The sequence below is a fragment of the Homo sapiens genome, chromosome 9, assembly GCF_000001405.40.
Source record: "Homo sapiens chromosome 9, GRCh38.p14 Primary Assembly".
NCBI classification, from domain to species: Eukaryota; Metazoa; Chordata; class Mammalia; order Primates; family Hominidae; genus Homo; species Homo sapiens.
The window spans coordinates 5,970,378-5,997,577 of record NC_000009.12 but is presented as its reverse complement, the minus strand read 5'-3'; the positions used below and the strand labels follow the sequence as shown (position 1 = coordinate 5,997,577).

General features: G+C 36.9%; 1 protein-coding gene across 14 annotated transcripts in view; it reads left to right on the top strand.

The window, feature by feature from the left end:
- Positions 1-27,200, top strand: part of BRD10 (bromodomain containing 10) — a 129,649-nt gene that overhangs the window by 10,905 nt on the left and 91,544 nt on the right. For all 14 annotated transcript variants that reach the window (XR_007061251.1, XR_007061249.1, XR_007061250.1 and 11 more), the window contains exon 2: positions 9,033-9,233. Coding sequence is in view for 7 of the 14 variants with exons in the window: in XM_011517760.4 (XP_011516062.1) it covers positions 9,033-9,233 (201 nt within the window). In the remaining 7 variants the exon portion in view is untranslated. The remainder of the gene's footprint in view (positions 1-9,032; positions 9,234-27,200) is intronic.

The window sequence follows — 27,200 nt, the reverse complement described above, 5'->3', positions numbered from 1 at the left end:
CTGGTGTACTTGGATCTAACTTTCTCTGGTGTGCTGTTGATCTAACTATTCATCTTCTGATATTAAACTTTATTACTGTGACTTTAGAATTTATTTTAATATATTTGGTAGAGTGAGTCCTCTGTCAAAAAAAAAACCCATTTTTTCATGTATTTATTTTTCCATTAGATATGTGGCTTTTAAATAAGTATAGCAGAAGCAACATTTGCATCACCCATGTTTTGTTCACTTCGCATAAGAAATATGCAAGAAAACAATAAAAATCACTAGTTTGTGGGGAATAAGAGTGGTATTCTTCTCATTCATGAAGTGAAAGATGAAAAGTTGATAGCATTACTTATTTTCTGTAGACACTGTAATAGCCACTTGCTACATTCTTCTCATTTTAATTATGTCCTTAGCTCTTGCCAAGTCCCTATATCTCTTTGTTAAGACCTGTTATTTCAGGTAGGCAGGCGCTAAGACTTGCTCTAGCTTTCCTGCCTTTCTTCCTTGTGCCATTGTCTGAATCTGAAAGTGTCCTAAATTTACAATCAGCTACTTTAAAGCCTCATCAATGCTTAGGAGATAAATAGAAGAGTTGGCCAGGGACAGGAAGCCAAGGTATTTACCTGCGTACTTTGCAGACTCATTACATTTTTAGCATCTTCTAGGGAACATTAGCATATTGAGACAGTATGAGAGTTAGTGACCTAGAGAGCTTCTGTTCTGCCTGCATTGAGAACTCCTGAGAAGTAGGAATAGCTGTAGCAGTAGTAGTATGTTCAGCAGAGCAGCCCTAACTTACTAAAAATGCTTATCACACTTGTCAAGGTTGATAAGGCACTTTTCAAATACTGTTTGTCTGTAAATAAAAACTTTGCATTTGCCTTTGTGCCTTTCCTAAATTCAGAAAAACAGAATAAATATATTCTAAGCAAAACGATTTTTTAAAAATTAGTTACATGGCTCGGGCATGGTAGCTCATGCCTATAATCCCAGCACTTTGGGAGGCAGAGGTGGGCAGATCACCTGAGGTCGGGAGTTTGAGACCAGCCTGGCCAATGTGGTGAGAGACCCTGTGAAATCCCAACTCTACTAAACATACAAAAATTAGCCAGGCATAGTGGCATATGCTTGTAATCTTAGCTACTTGGGAGACTGAGGCACAAGAATTGCTTGAACCCAGGAGGCAAAGGTTGCAGTGAGCTGAGATTGTGCCATTGCACTCCAGCCTGGGTGACAGAGTAAGACGTTGTCTCAAAAACAACAACAACAACAAAAAAAAAAACCAAGTTACATGGTCTTCAGTTGTTCTTTGGGGCGTTATGTCATTTACCTGTTGCTGTTGCAGAAATGAATAATGGCTTTGGAAGGTTTTGTTTGTATTCTTCTCCTCTGGAGAGGAATAAATACATTTATTTTTATATATGTATTTATTTACTGTTGTTGTTTAATGGCTTTACTTACCACTAAGGGCTCCTAAATCAGTATCTTGAACCCCCCGCCTTTAGTTTTAGTTTCATATTTTTGTCCATAGAACTTTTCCAGTTGGTTGTGTAATTGTTATCTCAAAATGTTAAAAACTGAGTATATTTCTAGCCCAAATCTCCTTCCCAGTTTTCCTGTTTTTCTTTTTGACTTTTCACATTTTTGTCAGTGGTGTTATCATTGTTTCAGCCTGAATGTATCAGTCATCTTTGATGTTTATACTTTTAATTCCATATGTACAAATTGTTAGCGTGTTCTTTGCTAAATCCCTGTGGCTCAGTAAATATTTTGATGAATATATTTGAATAATATGAATGAATATTTTTGTCTTTATTTAGTATTCTCTCTCCACTCTTTCCTATCTATCTAAAACTGTTCTTTCTGCAAAGTCCAATTCAAGTTCTTAACAAAGGGTGACCAGATAGGGTATAGAAAGGTTGACTAAAATAAGAACTGAAAAATACCCTTTGCATTTCCTAACTGGGAGATCTCTGGGAAGAGGGATTTCAGTGGAGTAGCTCCAAGCAGATGCCACATTATAGATTGAGATGTGAATGAAAGATGAATTGGATCAGCAGTTTAGATGTTCCTCAGGGAAACTTGGACTTGTTTATATGCTAAAGCAGCTAACAGACAGAGAAAGAGAGTTTGAAGGCTCAGAAGATAATTAATGAAATACAAATTCTGAAGACCTGTGTAGTGATTCATTTTTCATTAGAGGATTGGAGGCACATTTTTCACTGAAACATAAAGTAAGGATGGGCCTGGATTTAGATAATTTTGGTTTTTGAGAAGCAGGAAGTTAATGGAGCTCTTACTTAAAAACTGCCGTTTTCTCTGAAATAAGTTATGGGCAGTCACCTGCGAGAAAGTGATGGAATGAAGCTTTTGAATAGTGGTAGCATTTGGGCCGGCATGGTGGCTCACGCCTCTAATCCCAGCAATTTGGGATGCCAAGGCGGGTGGATCAACTGAGGTCAGGAGTTCGAGACCAGCCTGACCAACATGGAGAAACCCCGTCTCTATTGAAAATGCTGAAAATTAGCCGGGCGTGGTGGCATATGCCTGTAATCCCAGCTACTCAGGAGGCTGAGGCAGGAGAATTGCTTGAACCAGGGAGGCGGAGGTTGCAGTGAGCCGAGATGGTGCCATTGCACTCCAGCCTGGGCAACAAGAGCGAAACTCTGTCTCAAAAAAAAAAAAAAAGAAAAATGATAGCATTTGAAGTTGCTGTTATGGAGAATGAAAGAGGGAGTTGACCACCTTCAAAGAAGTCATATTAGGTACAGTTGAGCCCAGCTGAGGTTATAGTTAGACAACAGATTATAAGGGGATTATTTTTTCTACCCTGCTCAGTAGGAGAAGTATAGGAGTGAAGGGGCCTTTGGCTGAGATTTAAGAGAGAGGCTACATGCCTGAGACAGAAATATAATTGGTCCAGGGAGATAAGAGAAGAGGTTAGTCATGTATTATGGGTCTCAACTGGTTATCTATGTGAATAGCTAAAAGAAGTTGAATTATGTTACAGCAAATGAGAGTCAGACAAGGGACTGGAGGTCTGAAGGAAGACGAAAAAGAAATTCAGGGGGAATAAGGTAATGACTGGGAAAATAGAAGGTAAAAATCAAGTAGAAAGTAAGTTTAATGGTCTTTAATAAGTGCTTTTTTGTGGGTATGAAGACTACTTCTTTTCCTGAAAACCTTTTTGTGTGTGAGGTAGCTTATAGCTGCAGATAAGAGCAGTGGTCTCCAGACTTTCATGATCTGGCTTCTCAAGCAGCAAACATTTTGAATATATACCTTCGATTATGCATATTTATTTATAAATCATATATGGATACTTTACTATTATGTTTTATATATTATAAAACATAAGCTAAGCTAGATACTTAAAATGAGAGAGTAAATAAGCATATTTAAAAAATTTTTTAACATTATTGATGGTATAAAAAGTTTTTGGTGAGGGCATTGTGATACTTCATTAGTTTTGAGAATCTTGGTTTCGTACTTGGCTGTAGAGCTATTTGAAAGGCTTGTTTTAAGTTAGGTTTATTTTGATACTTGGTTTTAATGGCTGTTGTAGCACAGAGCTTGTAAAGATACATAAATGTAGACAGAAGCTTAGATGAATGATGCTTATCTATCAAATATGCAAATTTTTTTGTCAGAATTCCCCAGTAAAATTTTCTGTCTTTCCTAATTTAATTAGTTGTTCTTGGAAAGTATTTCTAAGGTGTGCTGTGCTGTTAATCTCCATTTGCCCCTGTAAATGCATTTTCTACCCTTGTGCACTGTGCTCTGTGCCCCAGAAGGCTGATTTATAAGGATCAAACTGGTATGCCTTGACCTCTGACTTCTGATTGGGTTCAGCCAATAGGAGGGACTGACAGGAGGACAGAGAGGACAGACATATTTATTCCTACAGCTTCCTTTTTGCTGGGTTGCAAGTTGTCAGAAACTGTGCTCCATCGTTATGGCCTTCTCCTACAGTCACCGCTCTCTGGGTTCCAGTAACTATTCACTCTCCTACCCATATTGGGCTTAGAGTGGTAAAATAGTTCTCTGCTGTGGCTAGCACTGGAGTGCTTCACTATCCCTTCCTATTTTCTCTCAACCTTGCCTGCACATTTGTAAATAGTCCCTTCATTAAATAAACATCACATCTTTTTACATATTATCTATTTCTTTCCAGGACCCTTAGGGCTAAAGTTGCATTTTAATATTTTTAAATGGATAGGTGAACTAAGTGATTGAAACTCTTCATTTAGTTGTTTTTTTTTTTTTTTTTTTTTTTTAATGGAGTCTCACTCTGTCACCCAGGCTGGAGTACAGTGGTGAGATCTCGGCTCACTGCAGCCTCCGTCTCCCAGGTTCCAGTGAGTCTCCTGCCTCAGCCTCCTGAGTAGCTGGGACTACAGACGCATGCCACCGTGCCCAGCTAATTTTTTATTATTAGTAGAGATGGGGTTTCACCATGTTGGCCAGGCTGGTCTCAAACTCCTGACCTCATTTGATCCACCCGCCTTGGCCTCCCAAAGTGCTGGGATTACAGGCATGAGCCACTGCGCCTGGCTTCATTTAGAATATTTTTAAACAGATTAGATAACCATGAGTTTTGAGTGTGCTGATAGAATTTTTATAGGTGACACATGTACATTGTTTTTGATAGCAAAAGAAAAATCACATAATGCAAAAGTGTTCAAACATCTATTTTTAGTAGGGGAGTAGGTGTCAGTTTGTATGTTAACTATAAGTAAAGCTTAATATCAATTCACTTTCTTGTTAAGACTTATTGTAATAATTTTAAACAGAATCAAGCCTCTGAATTCTGAAATTTGGAATGTATTAACACAGAAAAGACTTTACATGCTTTGTGTTAAAAAAAAAAAAAGGGGGAGAAAGAAAGTAAACGTAAAACTCAATAAGTAACCATAATTATTGGTTAGTGTTTGCTTATGGATGGCAGCATATTATTATTTTCAAACTACTGTCAGATTTCATGAAATGATTTCCCTAATAGACAGAAAAAAAGCTTGAATTTTTGCAACGGGAGAGCTATTTTAGTGTGTTTTTTTGCAATGGGAGAGCTATTTTAGTGTATTTATTTGGCCATTGATTATTTGACAACCCTATTTGAAAGGTAAATTTATTTTTTTATCTTATTTTATTCACTGATTAATGGAACTCAAGTAGATAGTAACATGTTTAATCGGGATTCTTTTACTATGGACAATATAGATGACTGGAATTTTTAAACCTTAATTATGTGTGTGAATTTAAAATGGAAAATAAATAACTTGGCTTGTGTTCTTCCAAATACTTTCTATGCGCATATAGATATATAGGGCACAGTTTGAGGGCATGATGACAGTCATTAACAAAACAAAGTTCCTATCCTCCTGGAGCTTTCATTTTGTTAGATAATTACCAAAAAAATAGTAATTATATAATGCAGTGTAGTGATAAGTGACATGAAAAAGAAACTAGTGTAAGAATAGAGAGTGATAGGGTATCGTTTATTAAATAAGTTAGGGAAGGTCTTTCAGATGTTGTGGCATTTGAACAGAGACTTGAATGAAGTGATAGAGTGTAGCCATATGAGTATCTGGAGGAAGAGTGTCTTAAAGGAGAGTGATCAAGTGCAAAGATGCATGGAAACAGTTGTGTTGGTATGACTGAGAATAAAATGGAGAGTTTTGTAGCTGGAATACAAAGAGCTAAGGTCAGAATGGCAGAAAATTAGGCCTGGAGAGGTAGGCGAAGGCCATATCATGCTAGGTCTTGGAGATCATAAGAACTTTAGGTTATTCTAACTGAAAGACTTTGGAGGAGACAGAGCAAGGTAGTGGCATCTGATTTGCCTTTTTTTTTTTTTTTTTTTTTAAGACAGAGTCTTTCTCTGTCGCCCAGGCTGGAATGCAATGGCACGATCTTGGCTCACTGCAACCTCCGCCTCCTAGGTTCAAATGATTCTCCTGCCTCAGCCTCCCGCGTAGCTTGGACTACAGGTGCACGTGCCATCAGGCCCAGCTAATTTTTGTATTTTTAGTAGAGATAGGGTTTTACCATATTGGCCAAGCTGGTCTGGAACTCCTGACGTCAGGTGATCCACCTGCCTTGGCCTCCCAGTGTGTTGGGATTACAGGCGTGAGTGACTGCACGCGGCCCTGGTTTGCTTTTTAAAAGGATTACCTGGGTTACTATATGAGTAGACTCTAGGAATATCAGAGCAGAAGCCAGGAGGCCTGTCACAAAGCAACTGCAGTAGTCTAGATGAGAGTTTGAACTCATGCGTGTACAGACACACTACTAGATGCATGTACAGATACACTACTAGATGTATGCGTACATATCATATGAAAACTAATACACATATGGCATCTAGTAGTGTGTCTGTACATGCATGATATATATATATATATATATACACACACACACACAAAACACACATGCACATATATAATTATTTTTGGGTTAAAAAATATATTTTGTTCAGAAACTTCTTTTTTACATTTAGCAGTGTAATATGGACATCTTTAACAGTGAATACATATACATATACTTGATTCGTTTTAATGGATGGATGCTCTTCCATGTTGTAATGTTCAGTACATTATTTAATCTGTCTCATATTGAAAAACATTTATGTTTCCAGTGTTTTAAAAAATAACAGGCAATATTCTGAGTGTTCTTGGTTGTAGTTGTTGAATTACATCTGTTGGATAAATTCCGAGAAGCATGGTGGGTCAAAGGATATGTTCATGTTAAACTTTAATGATTATTACTAAATTGACTGCTAGAAAGACTGCCAGTTTACACTTCTACTAATGTTGTTTAAGAATTTTTCCTTCCTTACATCCTTTCCAACCCTGAGTAATATCAGTCTTTTTTATCTTTACATGTTGGTGAGAGAGAAGCAGCACCATGGTTGGTTGGATTTTCTTTTAATTATGAGTAATAAATATCAAAGCTCATAAATTTTAATTTCTGATGAGTAATAAAGGATATTACTTTCTCTTTGGTCTTTGTTCTGAGAAAATACTGATTTAGAAAGTTTATACCTTTATCTTATCTACTTATAAAACTGAAATTAAAGAGTAAAATACAGTTTCTGACCTTATGTAACAATTTAGCCATATAACTTGCCATTTTTCTCAGTTTTCCTTATCCCCAGTGTTCTGTGTACTTACTGAATTTTTATCCTCAATGCTCTACATACCTGCTGTGACCTCTGAGATGTCATTATTTTTCAATGCAATATTGTCCATTAATGTTCTCTTTCATCAGTATTGAAGAAGTAGTTAAAATTATATAGCTAATTAATTAACCTACTAAAAATATTATACTAAAATAAATTAAAGTACACCCATTCAGTATCTGTTGTTGCCAGTTGGCTATCTTCCCTGGGTCCGCAATTCCTTACTTCCGGCCCAATTAGCTATCATACAGATGTATGCCATTGTATACTGAAGGATCACAGCCTAAAATGGTATGCTAGATTAGCCCAAATTCTTCAGTATTTTTGGAAAACCAATTTAACATTCATGCCCTTATTAAAGCTGAATTAGTTATAGTGTTATCACCGTATAACAGAGAAAACACATAATGGTGCTACAGTTTGGTAGAATCCTACACTCATACTGTTCATGGGACCTAGATGGCACTGAGGGTAAGGTTGTTACAAAGTTATTCTAATTTAGTGTAATAAATCACTCTGGACATAGTCCAAGGAGGACAGGACTTCAATTATTATATTTTATGTCATAAAGATTTATGTTTGGCTGGGTGGGGTGGCTCATGTCTGTAATCCCAGCACTTTGGGAGGCCAAGGTGGGCTGATCGCTTGAGCCCAGGCATTCAAGACCAGCCTGGGCAACATGGTGAAACCCTGTCTCTACAAAATTACAAAAGTTAGCCAGGCGTGGTGGCACATGCCTGTGGTCCCAGCTACTGAGGAGGCTGAGGTGGGAGGATCACCTGAGCCCAGGGAGGTTGAAGCTGCAGGATCATACCACTGCACCCCAGCCTGGGTGACAGAGTCTCTGTCTCAAAAAAAAAAAAAAAAAATTTACATTTTAATGAACCTTTAGCCTATTTTATGTTAAAGCCTGTAGGAAAGCAGGGAAATATAACTATAGGGTCAACTTTTAATTTATATAAATTTTCTTTTTTTTTTTTTTTGAGGTAGGAACTCTGTCACCCAGGCTGGAGTGGAGTGGTACGATCTCAGCTCATTGCAGCCTCAACCTCCCAAGCATCGGTCCTCCCACCTTAGCCTCCCAAGTATTAATATATTAATAATTGGATCTACAGGTGCTCACCACCATGCCTGACTAATTTTTGGATTTTTTTTTTTTTTTTTTTTTTTTTTTAATGAGACAGAGTTTCTCTCTTGTTGCCCAGGCTGGAGTGCAGTGATGTGATCTCGGCTCACCACAACCTCTGCCTCCTCCTGGTTCAAGTGATTCTCCTGCCTCAGCCTGCCGAGTAGCTGGAATTACAGGCATGCGCCACCGCGCCCGGCTAATTTTGTATTTTTAGTAGAGGCAGGGCTTCTCCGTGTTGGTCAGGCTGGTCTCAAACTCCTGACCTCAGATGATTCGCCTGCCTCGGCCTCCCAAATTGCTGAGATTGCAGGCATGAGCCACTGCACCCGGCTGTTTATAATTTTTTCAAAGTGTTTATGTATCATTTTACATTTTCTTTTTCCAAATGTTTCTGTATTATTGTACATTTTCTCGTACCAATAATAGATAGTATGAAATACATTGCAAACAATAAACTTTGTTTTCTATTAAAGAGATAGTGCTTTAGTCAATATTTTAAATGCTTCAGTCTCAGATTTTTTTTTTTAATGCAGGGAAGAGACTGTCACTCTGATTTTATGACATAAGGAGTATGAGAAATTGTGTAGGGAGGATAAAAAGTTAGAACAAAGCTAAGTAAGTAAGGTTTAAATACTTTTATGTATTTAGCAAAAGGGATTCTTAAGTTGCTGGCTAAGGGGGTTTATTGCTTATCCAGAAGATTTGACCTTGTGAATTGACTTATTCTTCTCCAAGGCACTTGAGAGAAAAGACAACGATAGCAGTTACATCTAGAGGCTATTATGGATTGGAGGATGAGAAGGGAACTGCATGTACCTCAACAAGGCGTCGGTCAACACCGCGAAGTTTGGCAGGCTTGACAAGTGGAGTTTTTGAATCTATAATGGTTCAAGTTTTGAGACAGGAAGAACAGCTGAGAGCAAAAGAAGAAAAAAGGTAAATGTTAAGAAAAAAATTCATAATTTCAGCTGCATAATTTTTATGTGCCCATATCAGATTTCTGGGCCCATTTTAGTAGTGTTCTAAAATGCATTGTTACAAAAGTATGAATTCATAATGAAATATCGCAATAAAATTTGTTTAAAATGTAATTTTAAAATTTAAAACCACTTATCTTGAAGCTATACAAAAATAATTTCTACAGAATATTTCAGAGTGCTTTCTAGATTTCTAGTAGTATTCATTCTCAAGTGAATTATAAGTTTTAAATTAGAGGAATTTTCTATAGGTTTGTAGTTTTAGAACAGAATCACAGACCTTTAAAATCAGGAGAATCTCCAGAGATTATGTAGTTCAAGCATGACATAAATTCACCTCTGCCTGTTCCTCCATTGGAATTAATATCCTGGATAACTGTGCTTACTCTGGGCTGATCAGGAAAAAGTGTGCTCAATTAATGGTAGCTTCTAGGGTCTGGGAGCATAAGAGTGATGGCATTTATATAACTTTTCAATTTATAAAAAGACAACCAGGGCCCAGAGAGGTAAGTGACACTGATGTTTCTATACTGACAAACAAACAAACAAAAAGACTAGTTATTTTTATAGTACTAAATCAAATTGCGAACTATGTTAGGAGTGATTACTAATGTTATAAGGACTTGTTAATGCTGGTCAGAGGCAATTTATAATATTTTGTTGCTCTTCTTGTAATAATAAATGTAACTTGCTTTGAAATTTGTAGGATTGAAACTCAGCCTTGAGACTTTCTACCATCATACTTTTTCCAGCAGTAATTAATTTGGAAACCTGCTGTAAAGTATTTTTTTTTTCCTTGTGCAGAGCTTCACAGAACTACTCCTACTATAGGAAAGGAGGGCTTATGGAAAGGGGTAAAGATTAACTTGACAGTAGCGTACAGTAGATTGGAATGGGGAGAATTGAAGAAAAGGAAGGCTTGTACGAAGAAGGCTGTAGTAGTCTACATCTCCACTACTGGTCACCACCTCCAATACTGGTCACCAGAAATTGGAAGAAATCAGATTGTCCTGAGAACAATTAATAGAACTTAGTATCTTCCTTGGTATAGGGAGAACAAAGGAAGAGACAAAGATAAGTCAAAAAGTAGTTGTAATAATAGTAGTGATATAAACAATAAGATAAAAAAAAAGAATGGCTAATGTTTATTGAGCGTGAGTATTTGCCAGGTTTAGCTCTAAGCACCTTCCTTGTATTCAGCATTTATCCTGAGGCACAGAGTGATGAAGTAACTTGCCCAAGGTCATACAGTTTTTGAGTAGTGAACTCAAGATTGGAACCCAATCAGCCTGGCTCTAGAGCTAGTGCTCCTAAGCAGTATACCATTTTTTGATTTGTAAAATGGTAAAACTAGCAAAGAAAATAGAAGAGCTTGAAAAGGTGAGTCCAGGTAGGGGAAAAAGCAGTGAATTCATTTTGAATAAATTGTTTAATATGATAATGAAAACATTTACATATCCAAGCAGGAATGCATAGCAGGAAACTATGAATATGAATCAATCTATGTGTGCCCTGACATCAAATAAACATGGGAGAATAAGCCATGGGAGGAAAACCCTCTGTTAAATATCATAGTAACTATGATAATTTAATGGAGTTATATGAATTAAGCTATCTCTTTTAGTGTTAACGTTTTAAATTATAAAATATTTTAAGCATAGAACAAAGAATAAATAAAATTAAAGCCTGTGCTGTGGAGAAGTAGGAAGGCTTTTACACTGTTGGTGGGAATGTAAATTAGTTCAGCCGTTGTGGAAGACAGTATGATGATTCCTGAAAGATCTAGAACCATTTGACCCAGCAATTCCATTACTGGGTATATAACCCAAAGGAATATAAATCATTCTGTTATAAAGGTACGTGCATGCCTATGTTCATTGCAGCACTATTCACAATAGCAAAGACATGGAATCAACCCAAATGCTCAGCAATGATAGACTGGATAAAGAAAATGTGGTACATACAGACCATGGAATACTCTGCAGCCATAAAAAGGAATTAGATCATGTCATTTGCAGGGACATGGATGAAGCTGGAAGCCATTATCCTCAGCAAACTAACACAGGAACAGAAAACTAAACACCACATGTTCTCACTCATAAGTGGGAGCTGAACAGTGAGAACACATGGACACAGGGAGGGGAACAACACACACCGGAGCCTGTAAGGTGGGTAGAGGGAGGGAGAGCATCAGGATAAATAGCTAATGCATGCTGAACGTAATACCTAGGTGATGGGTTGATAGGTGCAGCAAACCACCATGGCACATGTTTACCTGTGTAACAAACCTGCATGTCCTGCACTTGTATCCTGGACCTTAAAATAATAATAATAATTTTTAAAAAGCCTATGTGCCCACAACCCAACAATTTTTTTTTAAAGAATTAGCCATAAATGCCATCTAGTTTCCTTGTACTTCTGTTATAGAAGATACCCCATCTTAATTTTTTTGTTTCTCATTCCCATGCATTTTATTATTGAACTGTAAGAATTCTTTATTTATTTATTTATTTTTTTTGAGACGGAGTTTTGCTGTTGTTGCCCAGGCTGGAGTGCAGTGGCGCAACCTTGGCTCACCACAACCTCCGCCTCCCAGGTTCAAGCGATTCCCCTGTCTCAGCCTCCTGAGTAGCTGGGATCACAGGCAAGCACCACCACACCCGGCTAATTCTGTATTTTCAGTAGAGATGGGGTTTCTCCATGTTGGTCAGGATGGTCTTGAACTCCCAACCTCAGGTGATCTGCCCACCTCGGCCTCCCACAGTGTTGGGATTACAGGTGTGAGCCACCGTGCCCAGCCAAGAATTCTTTATGTATTCTGGATATAAGCCCTTTGTCAGATATATGTGTTCACAAGTGTTTTCTCAGTCCATGGCCTTCATTTTCAGTGTTTTTGGAGAAGTTTTTTGTCTTGGAAGTTCAAATCATCCATTTTTTAAATGTTTTTGTGGACCTACCTAAGGAATCTTAGCGTACCCAAGGTTATGGAAATTTTTGTTCTAGAATTTTTTAAGTTTTGGTTTTTCTGGTTATGTTTATTCTTTTGAAGTTAATTTTTGTGTGTGGTATGAAGTAAGGAAAAACTTTACTTTTTTCCATATGGATAGCCAGTTCCTTCAGTATCATTTGTTGAACAAAAACTATTCTTTCACCACTGAATTACCTTTGCATCTTTGTTGAAAAGCAATTGAACGTATTATTTGTGAGTCTTTCTGAACTGTGTTCTGTTTCATTTAGCTATAGGTGTATCTTTATGTTAGCACTATATTGATTTGATTAACTTTACAGTAAGTCTTGAAATTAAATAGCATGTCTTCCAACTTTATGGGGTTTTTTTTTTCAAATTCGTTTGTCTATACTAGGACCTTCACTTTTTGTGTAATTTTGAAATCATATTGTTAATTTCTGCAGAAAAATCCTGGGAAGGTTGATTGAGATTACATGGAAATTATCAGTTTCTGGATAATTGTTTTGTTTTCTTTTTTTCTTAGCTGTATTTTGTAGTTTTCAGTGTGCACATTTTTTACATATTTGGTTACCTTTTTCCCTACATATTTCATGGTTTTTATACAATTGTAAGTCATTTTAAAATTTAATTTACAATTATTTATTGCTAATATATCTAGAAATACAAACTTTAGTACAGTAACCTTTTGTCTTCTCTGAGTTTTGTCAGGTTTTTCTTCATGTAATTTGAAACTGTGCTATTAGATGCATAGATATTTATGGCTTTTATGTTTTCTGATGTATTGACTTCTTTCTTATTATGTCCCTTTTTATCCCTGGTAATATTGCTTACATTCTTTAATATTCCATTTTATCTCCAGTGTTGGCCTATTATAATGCTCTGCCTCGTTGTTTTATTTTTTCAAAGTAGTTTCTGTAGGATTTACAGGATGTGCTTTAATTTATCATGGTCAGTTTCAAATAATGCTGTACCACTTGACAGTATGCCTCTGTATACCATTTTTCATTCTTTGTGCTGTTGTCGTATGCCTTCCTTCTACATGTGTTTTAAACCCCCAATACACTGTTATTGTATGTGCTTTAAATAGTTGTGTTTTAAAGAAATCAAAGAATGAAAAGAAGTATTTTATATTTAATCCACACCTTTACCCTTCCCAACATTCTGCCTGCCTTTATATTGATCCATGATACCATCTGATATCATTTTTCTACTGTCTAAAGAGCTCTTTTAGCATTTCTTGTAATATAGGTCTGCCAACAATGAATTCTGAGGTTTTTTTTTGACTGAAAAAGTTTTTATTTTTCCTTACATCTTGAAGGATGGAGAGGGGTGTGTGTGTGTGTGTGTGTGTGTGTGTGTGTGTGTGTGTGTGTAATGCATATACATATATGACTCTGTATTGACAGGTTTTTTCCTATCAGCACTTTAAGTATGACGTGTTTTACTATGCATAGTTTTTTAAAAGAAGCCTGCTGACTTCCTTATCTTTGTTCCTATAGGGGTGGTCTATCTTATTTCTCTTAACTGCCTTTAAGATTTTCTCTTTATAATTAGCTTTCATCAATTTGTCATGTGCATTTGGTGTGAGCTTATGTGTGTGTGTTTGTGTTTATCTTGCTTGAGGTTCATTTCGCTTCTTTGATCCATAGACTTTCAGTCTTCTCTGTGCTCTTTTCAAGGCTGCTCATATTTTCTTCTGCAGTGTCTAATCCAGTGAACTGTTTACTGAATATAATTTTTTATCTCTAAAAGTTACATTTAGTTCTGTTTTTTATATATCTTCATTTCTCTCATTATCTTCATGTTTTAATTTCTAATCTCTAACTTAATCATCTTTGTAATTTCTAAGTCTTTCTGTTGTTTTTCTCCTAGTTATATTCTTTTGCTTCTTGGCATGTCCAGTAATTTTTATTGGAAATTAGACATTGTGAACATTGCTTTGTTGAGTCTGGAGTTTTATTTACTTCCTTTGAGGAGGATTAGGCTTTGTTCTGGCAAGCAGTTAAATTTCTTGTAGAACAGTTTGAAAAGTCCAGGTTTTAAGCTGTTTTAGGGTGTGTCTGAGATAGCCTTCACTCCAGTTCAGCCCTACAATAGCATAATGCCTCTCAGGCCTCTGCTAAATGCCCCTAAGTGGTGGCTGAAGACTTTCTGCTTCAGCTGGTCAGAACTCAGTTACCTCCCCAGTTTGTGTGGCTGTCCGAATTGCTACCTTATTAATATTCTGGTCAGATTTAACTTTGTGGAGTTTAACTCTAGGAAGTCACAGCCAGGACAGTTGGCTCTCCGTGTCAGCAGGTTCCACATGCACTGATTCAACCAACTGCTTATTTCCCAAATATTTCCCATGTTTGGGGAAAAAAACAATAAAAATAACAATACCACAATTTTAAAAATTCAAAATTTAAAATACAATATAGATTTCTGTTCTGTATAACTTCCTTCTTTTTGGAATTATCTCACAACTTCCAGGTGCTTCATCCTCCCCAGATGCCAATCTCTATCCCCTCAACTCCACTCCACTGGACTCCCTGATCCCGACTTTCTGTTCTCATAGTCTAAAAACTGCCTTCAGTCAGAAAGCTGGATGTCTTAGTTTATTTTCTGTTGCTTATAACAGGATACTGGAAACTGGGTAATTTATGAAGAGAAGGAATTTGTTTTTTTACAGTTACAGAGGATGTGAAGTCCAAGGTCAGGGAGTACATCTGGTAGTCATCTTGCTGATGGCAACTCTCTGCAGAGTCCCGAAACTGCACAGGGCATCACATGGTGAGGGGCTGAGTGTGCTAGCTCAAGTCTCACTTCTTTTTATAAAGCCATCAGCCCCATTCCCATGATACCTCATTAATCCACTCATTTGGGCAGAACCCTCATGACCCAATAACCTCTTGAAGGCCCCACCTCTCAATACTGCCACATTGTGGATTAAATTTCAACACGAGTTTTGGAGGGGACAACTATTCAAACCAGCTGTCCTAGCACTGGGCAATTGTAGGGATCATCTCATTTGTTTCACTTCTCTTGGTGATCACAGTCCTGCACTGTTTGTCCAGTGTCTGAAAATGTATGTTTTATATATTGTGTTCAGTTTGTAGCTGCTTGCAGTAGGAGGGTAAGTTTGGTTCAATTACTTCATCATGACCACAAAAAGTGGTCATTTCCATGCATTTTTAATGTTTTAATTACATAGGTATATATTTGTAGATAATATATAACATTCTTTTGCATGTCTTTAACCTTCATATAATTGGCAACTTAAAAATAATATATATATATACACACACATACATACATACATAAAATTTCAATAGGTTTTTGGGGAACAGGTGGTGTTTGGTTACATAAATAAGTTCTTTAGTGGTGATTTCTGAGATTCTGGTGCACCCATCACCCGAGCAGTGTACACTTTACCCAAAGTATGGTCTTTTATCTCTTAACAACTTTCTGTTTCCATTTATTTACGTATCTGAGCTTTATTCATGTTGAACTGTTTTGTTCTAGTTTATTTCAAGCCTTATATAATAACTATGTAATAGTATTACATCATGTGACTGTATTTCAGTGTATCCATTTTCCAGAAGAGATGGACGTTTTGAAGTATTTCTGTTGTTTCATTATTATAGAATGCTATAGTAAACATTCTTGTGTCTCCCTTGAGGATGGACACAGAGATGGATAGATTAAAATAGATAGATAGATAGATAGATAGAAGATAGATACATGGATAGATAGATTAATTGATGATAAATAGATTGGATGGATGGATAGATAGATAGATAGATAGTCCAGGTCTCTCCTTTAAGTTTCAGACCTAATTGCCTGCTTAATGTCTTCTCTGGATGTCGTATCTGTCAGTGTTGGTATCAGTGTCTCTCCTCTGCCAGGAAACATGTGGCACATTCAAATTAGGATATTTCAAAGAGGGTTTATTTTCAAAGGGGTTACAATGTAGCAGAATCTTAAGAAATAAGGCTGTAACCAGGGTAAGCAGAGAGAGTAACTGGTACCCAGGAAACGGTTATAGAGGAGAGACTGTTTTGAGAAGATACTTCTATTGAAGGACAAAGCCCAAGGCAACCTCATGAGGAGAGAGCCAGGGAAATAAATGCTTCATCCCACTTTATTTTATCTTTCTGATTACCTCCCAGGTCTCTCCATTGATGAACCCAAGGGAAGACTGAGAGTGAGGTTGCCTATTGATACAGATAAACCTTACAGTGAAGGATGGAGAATGGATCTAGAGGCAAACAATCTAATCTGTCAATCTAATACCCTGTCAAGAGTTAGTCAGAGACTAGCTAAGAGTATAGATTTTATAAATTTAGATAGGGAAGGGACTTTGAAATCATAGGAAGGTCATGTTAGAAGAGGAAGGTGTTTTGTTGTTGTTGTTGTTACTGTTGTTGTTTTAATTAAAACCTTTGGCATAAGAAGTGGGGAAAACAGTTTTCATTTTGTTACGTAGGTTAAAACACCTGTTATATCAGAAGTTTGAGATCAAGATAGCAGCAGCCTGAAAATTTAGTATATATTTTAATATGGTAATACTTTATCTGGTATCTGATGGACATCTGATAATTTACAGCTGATCATCTGGGCAGACACAAACTAAAAAGTAGATTTTTTAAAATTTTTACTCTCTCTCTCTCTATATACATATACATTGTGTGTGTGTGTGTGAAGTTTTTTTTAAACCAACCCTGGTCTACAGAAATTTTTTACAATCTTTAAATGTACCTAATTTGGTTTCTAATTTGTTACCTATTCCATTTAAAGGAAGGAAGCTCCCCACTCTATATTTTAATTTTTATACAGTAGGCTGATTACCTTCCTTGTGCAGTATATGCTATCAAAATAATGGCTTCTTAGATTGCCAGATTTAAAATCCTGGCATTCCTCTATTGCTGTCTTTATTAGTTTGGACAGCTTTGGATACCAGTATAAAGGAGATGGCGAGTGATGGCCTGTTGAACAGAGAGGAATAAATACTGAGAAAGGCTTGGTAGTCTGGCCATCTTCAAGAAAATGCTGATAGGACAACAGGCAGTCTTGGGGGAACTGGTGTAGAGAGACCCTGTTGATTTAGGAGACAGCAGCCCTCTAAGTGAAAGTCTGAGAAAATTGAGTGAAAGAGCTGATTAATTTATTGCTGAAATAGTCTTTAAGCTAATCACAACCACCACCACATTCTGTTTATAATGATGACCTAAAACCATTAAGGAATCATTGAATAATATTTTGTATACCTTGTTTATTAAACAGGAAAGTAGATAACACATTTAAGATACTTCTTTTTTTTTTTTCTTTTTTTTTTTTTTGAGATGGAGTCTTGCTTTGTTGCCCAGGCTGTAGTGCAGTGGTGCAGTCCTGGCTCACTGCAACCTCCACCTCCCAGGTTCAAGTGATTCTCCCACCTCAGCCTCCTGAGTAGCTAGGGCTACAGGTGCTGCCACTATGCCCAGCTAATGTTTGTATTTTTAGTAGAGATGGGATTTCACCATGTTGCCCAGGCTGGTGTGGAACTCCTGACCTCAGGTGATCTGCCCTCCTCAGCCTCCCAAAGTGCTGGAATTATAGGTGTGAGCCACCATACCGGCTATTTTAGATACTTAAAAGATAAAATAAAATCAATGAAAATTGGCAATTGGTTCTCCTCAAGTAAATTTCTATTAATCTGGAATATGACATTATTAGATAGCAGTTTTGATAACTTAAGTCTACTTTAGTTGTCTTAAAAATACTAGATCTGTTCATTGTTCCTTTTTTGCAAAACCATTTGGATTTTCAGAAATAGTGGATTTTTTTTTTGTTTGTGGGTTTTTTTTGAGACAGGTTCTCACTCTGTCTCCCAGGCTGGCATGATGTGATCACGACTCACTGCAGACTCCACCTCCCAGGCTCAAGTTATCCTCCCACCTCAGCCTCCCAAGTAGCTGGGATTACAGGCATGACCACCACACTTGGCAAATTTTTACATTTTTCGTAAAGACGAGGTCTCACTATATTTCCCAGGCTGGTCTCGAACTCCTGGGCTCAAGCCATCCTCCCACCTTGGCCTTCCAAATTGTTGGGATTACAGGCATGAGCCACCATGCCCAGCCAGTGTGTATTTTGTTAGTACTCTTTATTTCATGTACTTTTACAAACTTGCTGGTATTTTACTGATCTGGAAATCACTGGAATTGAAACAGATTTTTAAACTCCAGTGATTATTTTTGTAAAATAAATACTATGACTTTATAATTAAGTGATTTATTTTCATATTCTCTATAACACAAAGTAGCAGTGACTTAATTAAATATGTATTCATCATTTGTGGCCACCCAGCATTTTTAAATAGCTTTCTTACATTTTGGTAATTTCCTATAGTACAAGTTTTAACTTCCCAGGATAGATGCCAGAAAATTTATATTCTCAAACCCCCTCACAGGTAAGGTAGAGGTATATGAGCAGGTATATACTTCTTACTTGATATTGCATGAACAACATCAGGTAGCAATCTTGAGTGAGAGGGTTTATTTTTTGATAAAGGTGGTAGTAGGAGTTTCTGGTTGTTCCAGGTTCTTGGTATCAAAGGTGCCAACTAGTGCTGACCGTGTAGTTTTTCTTGGAGAACCTTCTAAGTGTGGTTGGGCTTGTTTTCTGGCTTTTTGTCATCTAAGTTTGGCTCTCTGACTCTTGACAGAGCTTCTATAAGCTCCCTACTAATCCTTAAATAAATTCCTTTTCTGCTTCAGCTAGCCAGAGGAGATTCTGTTGTTGTCAGATAAATAAGAAGGTTGACTGATGGACTTGATATGAATGGTTAATTTTTCTAAAATATAATATTATGTGTTATTCATCTTAGAAAATATAAATAAATATCTTGCTTCCCTTTTTCATGCCATCAATTTGTGTACATTTTATTATTTCTTAAAACTCCTTTTTTTTTTTTTTTTTTACTAAATTGCAATGTCTTTGAGAGTGAGGTCCATGTTTTCTCACCTCTTTGTGTTGTCACACATGGTAAGCATTCAATAAAAGTTTATAAAACTATAATAGTAAAGTTAGGATACTTTAAAACTTAATTTTCTTTTGGAAATCTAGTGTTTTTGCCAAATCGTGCATGGCTAAAATAACCTTAGGCACAGCTTCTATTAGTATTTCACAGAGTAACAGGCAAACATGCCACAGCCCAGTAAGGAGCAACATCAAAAATGAGAGCTGATCCAGAAAAAAAAATTGAACCAATTTTCTTGTTTATTCAGTATTGTTTATGTACCCTGTTTTTAAAAATAGCAAATGTTATTTTTGCAAATATCCTTAGGCAGCCTTTTGGTATTTTCCCAACATTGAAGGCTTAATTTTTTGAGCTAGTATTTTAGAAACATGCACTGCTTTATCTGCCTTTAGTACTGTACTTTTGGATAAATTTTTTAAATGAGAATAATTCTGGAAGATGGCTTTGTCTGCCTTACCAGCAAAATGTGATGTACTTCAGCATTTTTTTTTCTTTTTTGAGACGGAGTCTCGCTCTGTTGCCCAGGCTGGAGTGCAGTGACGTGATCTTGGTTCACTGCAAGCTCTGCCTCCTGGGTTCACACCATTCTCGTGCCTCAGCCTCCCGAGTAGCTGGGACTACAGGCGCTTGCCACCACGCCCAGCTAATTTTTTGTATTTTTAGTAGAGACGGGATTTCACCGTGGTCTCGATCTCCTGACCTCGTGATCTGCCCACCTCAGCCTCTCAAAGTGCTGGGATTACAGGCGTGAGCCACTGCGCCCAGCCACTTCAGCATTTTTAAGATACTGTTTTTAATTTTTAACTATAAGTGTTAAAGTTTTTTTAAAAATGGCTGATTATATATATTAACTCTAGAGATCTTCAGCAGGCTCCCATTCCCTATTTACTACACTACTGAGGATCAGGAAAGAGACTCCATAGTTGTATTTCTAAAGGTAAAGGGCTGTTCTGCCTTATGCTGGCCTATACCAGCCATGTACTTTTTTGTCCTTCCTCACATCTCTTTAGTATTCATAGTCTGAGGCTAGATTCCATAATCCTCCCCTGAAAGGTACAGTGTATGAGGAACAGCAGCAGTGTGAGTAGCAGCCCTTGATTAGCTTCAGATAGTGCACACAGATGGCATTATCACACTTCAACTGTGTCATGAATTTTCTTCCTCTTCTAGGAGCAAGTCAGTTGGTGCTAACTTTGGCCTACCAGGCAAACTGTGTTTCTGTCTCTTATACTGACCTGCTAGGAAAACCTGGGGGAAGTTATTTCACCTTTCTGTATGTCCTTAATATTCGCAGCAGGTAAATAATTTGTGAAATTACCTTATCACCAATCTTTATATTGGCCAAAAGTTGCTTTTCACTGCTTTAGGCAAAGCAAGTCCATAAAAGTTTTTTCATCTACTCCAACTTTCCCTTTCATTTTCTTCCCCAAGCACTAGCTGTCACTCTTTCACTTCTGCAGAACATGTAACACTCTTCTCTGTCAGAACAAAATGTATTTCATTGATGTTAGTCATGTATGCACTGCCTTCAGGATTCCCAGATTTTTTTTTTTTTTTTGCTGTCCTTTCCCTACTTAGTGTTGACTCTTCACATCTATTCTACTATTTGGCGCTTCCTAGTTCCTTTATCTTATTTCCTTTGGAAAAAAACAAAGTGTCACATTTAATTTTGAAAATAGAAATCTGCCATAAACAACATTATATTTTACTTATATGTATAACCAAAAAGGGAGAATTTCTAGACTTACAGTCTGAGATGTTTTATAACTAATAAGTGATTTTATAGTGAGCTCATAGTCAGGATTAATTATGACAAGATTAACCAAAATCAGTTTTCTCTGCCAAGAATAGTAATAAACAAACCCAGTTTCTGACGGTTGATTCTAAGATACAGTATCCTATTACAAACTTTTAAACAAACTCTGAATTAAATTTTATGGGAAATAACTTGAAAACTTTGCCTGTTGTTAATAACAGTACATTGAAGAAAAATATTCTACCCTTCTCAGTACATAAAGTGTAGAGAAATTCAGTTTCATGGTAAAGTACACAGTATCTATAAATTTAACATAAACGTGATTAAATCATTTGATTTTTTTTTAGCTTTGAAAAATTGATTTCAGACTTATTTTATTTTACACACTCTCTAGTTTAAAAGTCACAGAGTATCTTTAAGGCTACTAAAAGGCAGCAGTCTTACCCAGCTGAACTTCAAGCCCATGACTCAGAATCAGCTACCTTTAACTTTTAGCTATTTCTTCTGGTAATCATGTTCACATTTCTAAATAAATGCTATGTTGCTATTTCTTGATTTTTCCATTTGGCATTATCTGTTGCTATTTATCTGTGGAATTCTTTTACACCTACTTCCACTGATAGGGAAGCTCTGTTCCTCTTCTTAATTTTGTTCTTTTCTGCCTCGTCCATCTCATATATTATTGTTGATTAATAATTTAGCTCTGTCTCATTTTTAACCCCCAAACTAACCATTATTACTGTTTTTATAATGTATTTTTTATTCATATTTACCCATGATTAAGTGTATTTTTTCCCAGTTCTTCTCACATTTTAGAACTTCTTTTGGTAATCATCTCTTCTCTTCTAAGTATATACTATAGAAGTATGTTTTCTGTATATTTCAGTTTGGACAGTTTCTCTCTCTGTCTTCAAGTTCACTAATCTTTTCTTCTGCCGTGTCTAATCTGTCATAAATCGCATTCTGTGTATTTTCATCTCAGACATTGTAGTTTTTATCTCCAAAAGTGTAGTTTGGGTCTTCTTTATATCTCTCATGTCTCTACTTAAGTTTTTGACCAAATGGAATAATATAGTTTCAATAACTACTTTAATGACCTTATTGCTAAATCTTTTTTTTTTTTTTTTTTTTTTTTTTGAGATGGAGTTTCACTCTTGTTGCCCATGCTGGAGTGCAGTGGTGCGATCCTGGCTCACTGCAACCTCCACTTCCCAGGTTCAAGCGATTCTTCTGCTTCAGCCTCCCAAGTAGTTGGGATTACAGGCATGCACCACCACGCCCAGCTAATTTTGTATTTTTTTTTAGTAGAGACAGAGTTTCACCATGTTGGTCAGGTTGGTTTTGAACTCCTGACGTCAAGTGATCCACCCACCTCAGCCTCCCAAAGTGCTGGGATTACAGGCACGAGCCACCACGCCCAGCCCTTATTGCTAGTTCTAATATGTGTATCATTTCTGGGTCAGTTTTGATTGATTTTTCTCATCATGGGTCATTTTTCTGCATTGTTGCATGCCTAGTAGCCTTGGTTTGAATGCCAAACATTGTAAATTTTACCTTGGTGAGCGCTGGATATTTTTGGATCTCTATAAATCTTGAGCTTTTTCCTGGAATGCAGTTAAGTTAGTTGGAAACAGCTTTATTATTCTGACTCTTTTATGATTTTTTACTTGGATCCTGAGCGCTAGTCCAGGTCTAATTATTCTCTACTACCAAGGTAAGACCTTCCTGAGTATTCTACCCAATATTCCGTGAATTATGAGTCTAGTTTTCTAGCATGGTTAGTGGGAACAGGCACTATGTTCTCTAATATCTTGTAAGTTTGTCCCTGTACTAATCAGTACTCTTAATACTCCAGGGAGATCCTCTGCACATCTGTAGAGTTCTCTCTTTATGCAGCTCTCTACTCATTGGTACTGTGCAGGTACTATGTCCTGCAGACTCTAGTTGCCTTGGTCTCTCTGGACTCTTGGCTCCTTCTCAATAAGGGAGTCTGCTGGGCCTTAGCTGGGTACTCTCTGTCTGTCTGCATCATGATCTGGATACTCTTTCAAGGCAATAAACTGAAACAATGTTTGGGCTCACCTCATCTCTTTCTAATGTGTCATGGATCGCTGTCTTTTGCTTGAAAACCATTATTTCATGTATTAGGATTTTTTTGTTGTTGGTTCAAATGAAAGTATAAATTTGATTCTTTGTTACTTCATTTTGGTTGGAAGCAGAAGACACTACATGGAAGTTTTCATTTTAGTCTAATTGAAAATGACTTTAACTTACTCTCATCTATGAATGATAGTTTAGCTGGTTATGCAGTTCTAGTTTGACAGTTATATTAATTCAGCACTTTAAAGATACTGTTCTGTTGTTTCTGGTTTATTTTGTTGCTATTAATAGATCTCTCAGTCTGTCATTCCTGTATACGTAATCTGTCCTTTTTTCTGCATCTTTTAAGATTTTTTTTGTGTATGTCTTTGATGTTTTATTATTGTTTTATCATGTGCCCAAATGTGGCTTACGTTCTTCATTTATTTTTGGGGGCTTCCTGAAATGAAGATTTGTGCCCATTAGTTCTGGAAAATTCTCAGCCATTATGTCTTCAACTATCACCATCACCATTACCTTCCTACCTCTCTATTCTTACTTTCTGAAGCTACAATTTGTTTTTTGTCTCTTGCTTTTGTTTTGTTTTGGTTTTTTTGAGACAGGGTCTTGCTCTGTTGCCCAGGCTAGAGTGCCATGGCATGAACACAGCTCACTGCAACCTTGACCTCCTGGGCTCAAGTGATCTTCCCACCTCGCCCTCCTGAATAGCTGGGACCACAGGCCTGTGCCACCACACCAGGCCCGTTTTTTTTAAGAGATGAAATCTCGCCATGTTGCCTAGTCTGATCTTGAAGTCCTGGGCTTAAGCTATCCTCCCACCTCGGCCTCCCAAAATGCTGGGATTACAGGTGTGAGCCACCACACCCAGCCCAATCAATTTGTTGTATGTTAGATATTGATTTGTGTTTCTTTGGTCTGTCTCTTCCTTTTCAGTTTAATCATTTTTCTCCCAGCTTATTTGCTATTACTGTTATGTATTTTATTTTATGTTAGTATTAGTATTATTTTTTGAGATGGAGTCTCACTCTGTCACCCAGGCTGGAGTGCAGTGGTGTGATCTCAGCTCACTGCAGCCTCTGCCTCCCAGGTTCAAGCGATTCTCCTGCCTCAGCCTCCTAAATAGCTGAGATTGCAGGCGTGTACCACTACGCCCAGCTGATTTTTGTATTTCTAGTAGAGACAGGGTTTCACCTTGTTGGCCAGGCTGGTCTCAAACTTCTGACTTCAAATGATCTGCCTGCCTTGGCCTCCCAAAGTGCTGAGATTACAGGCACGAGCCACAGGGCCCAACTGTTGTTGTCATGTATTTGAATTCTATCTTGTCTTCTTTTTAAACTCCGTAGAGCATTTTAATAATTATTTATGCCATATCTATGTAAATTAACCTATGTATTACTACTTTTTTTTCCCCTATCTTTGTGCTTTAGTTAGGGATCACTGTTCTTCCACTGGAAGCACATTCTTTAGAATTTTCCTTTAGATTGTGTTTTTCAGTCACAAATACCACATTTTTTTGGTCTGAAAATATCTTTTTGTCTATATTTTTGAGAGAGATTTTTACTCTGAATGGAAATTTCTGTTGGCACTTATTTTCTGAGTATATTAAAGATACTCCATTGTGTGCTGGCTTCTGTTATTGCTGTTGAAGAGTGTCTTAGTCCATTTTGCATTGCTGTGAAGGAATACCTGAGGCTGAGTAATTTATAAAGAAAAGAGGGTTATTTGGCTCATGGTTCTGTAGGTTGTACAGGAAGCATGGGGCCAGCATCTGCATCAGGAGAATGCCTCAGACTGCTTCTACTCCTAGCAAAAGGTGAAGGGGAGCCAACATATCACGTGGTGAGAAAGGTAACAAGAGAGAGGAGGAAGGTGCCAGGCCCATTTTAACAATTAGTTCTTGTGACAACCAGTAGAGTGAGAACTCACTCACTGCAGTGAGAATGGGACCAAGCTATTCATGAGAGATCTACCCCCATAACTCAAACACCTGTAACTGGGCTGCGCTTTCAGCATTGGAAATCAAATTTCACCATGAGAATTGGAGGGTGCAGATATCCAAACTATATCAAGGAGTTAGCTGTAAGTCTGTTTTTATTTTATTTTCTGTATTTTTCATTTCTAGAAGTTCTTTTTAATTCGTATTCAAAACTGCTTTGTCATTTTTTATAATCTCCTTCTCTTTGCTCATGTTTTCAGTTTCTTTTCACTTAACATTGTATTCCTTGTGTCCTATAATTCTTACATCTATTATCTTGGGGCCAGATTCTTTCTTCCTATCCCTCCTAATATCTTAATTCCTTTTATGTTTTATCTTTGACTGTGGACTCATTTCTTATCACTGTAGTAGTAGGAGTTCCTTAAAGTCTAGACTTAAGGTGCATTCCCTTAGAGATTTGATTTTGTTGTTGTTGTTCATGTACCTGACAGCAATATTGGCATGAAACCACATTAAACTCATTTCTTAGTGTGATGTTTTTCTGGGCACTCAGGAAATGTGAATTTGGGCAATAAATCCATATGAGTCAGCTTATAGTTACAAATTCTTAAGATTTTTTTTTCCTCTCACCACTCCTATTGTGAAGACAAAAAAATTTTCTTGCAGTCCTCTAGTTGAGGATGAGGGGAAGGGAAGGGACTTTTTTCTAGTATGCCCCTCTACTGAGTGTGTGTGCTTTTGGAGTCCTAGCTCTGTACAGAGGAAGCCAAATTCTACCTGCCCACTACCATCCTCATTCAGTAAAAAATAAAACTCCATAAAACTCTAAGCACATTTGAAAGAAGTTGAATTTTATTAAGAATATTTAATATTTTTTAGGTACTCAAATGTAATATATAAATACCAAATCACTAATGACAGTTATAGTATGACATTTCAACCAAAAATATAAAAGTAGGCTGTTCTATAAAAGAGCAAGTTGTGATATTTGCCAAAGTAGTGTTCTTACTATTTATGTATTTATCTTACTGGATTGCAATCTGATTTATAGAAAAATAGCCAGTGTCAGACATTGATTTGTTCCCATTTTTGGCTCTTGTAAATAATACTGCTAAGAACATTTATATACAAGCTGTCGTGTGGACAAGTGTTTTTATTTCTCTTGGGCATATACCTAGGAGTAGAATTGCTAGATCACATAGTAACGTTTTCAAAAGCAATTATACTGCCTACAGTGTATGAGGTTTCTAGTTTCTTCACGTTTTCACCAATACTTGTTACTACTATCTGTCTTTTGTGTAATAACCATCCAAGTAGTTTTGGAGTAGTATCTCATTCTGGTTTTGATTTGCATTTATCTAATTGATAATGAGGCTGAGCATCTTTTCATGTGCTTTTGTTGTTCATTTTGTTGTTCACATCTTTAAAGAAATATCTATTCAAGTTCAAGTTTCTTTCTCCTTTTTTTTTTTTTTTTTTTTTTTTTTTGAGACGTTGCTTAGCTCTTGTTGCCCAGGCTGGAGTACAATGGTGCAATCTCGGCTCACTGTAACCGCTGCCTCCCAGATTCAAGCGATTCTCCTGCCTCAGCCTCCCTAGTAGCTGGGATTATAGGCATGTGCCACCATGCCCAGCTAATTTTTGTGTTTTTAAAAGAGAAGGGGTTTTACCACGTTGGCCTGGCTGGTCTCAAAATTCCTGACCTCAGATGATCCACTCGCCTCAGCCTCCCAAAATGCTGGGATTACAGGCGTGAGCCACTGTACCCAGCCTGTCCATTTTTTAACTGGGCTATTTGTCCTTTCATTATTGAGTTGTAAGTATCTATTATATATTCTATATACAAGTCTCCTATTAAGTACATAATTTACAAAAACATCCTCCCATCCTGTGAGTTGTCTTTACTTTCTTGATGATGTCTTTTAAAAGCAGAAATTTTTCTAGTTTTGATGATACCCAGTTTATCTATTTTTCTCTTGTTGCTTATTTTTTGGGTGTCAGATCTAAGAAACCATTGCCTAATCTAAGGTCACAAAGACTTAAATGCCTATCTTTGCATCTAATTTCATTTTTTTAATTAAGTTTTTATAGTAGTGCTAATAAAATCTTAAGGGGGAAAAAAGCACTCATATTCCTATTAACCTAGAAATTATTTACTTTTGC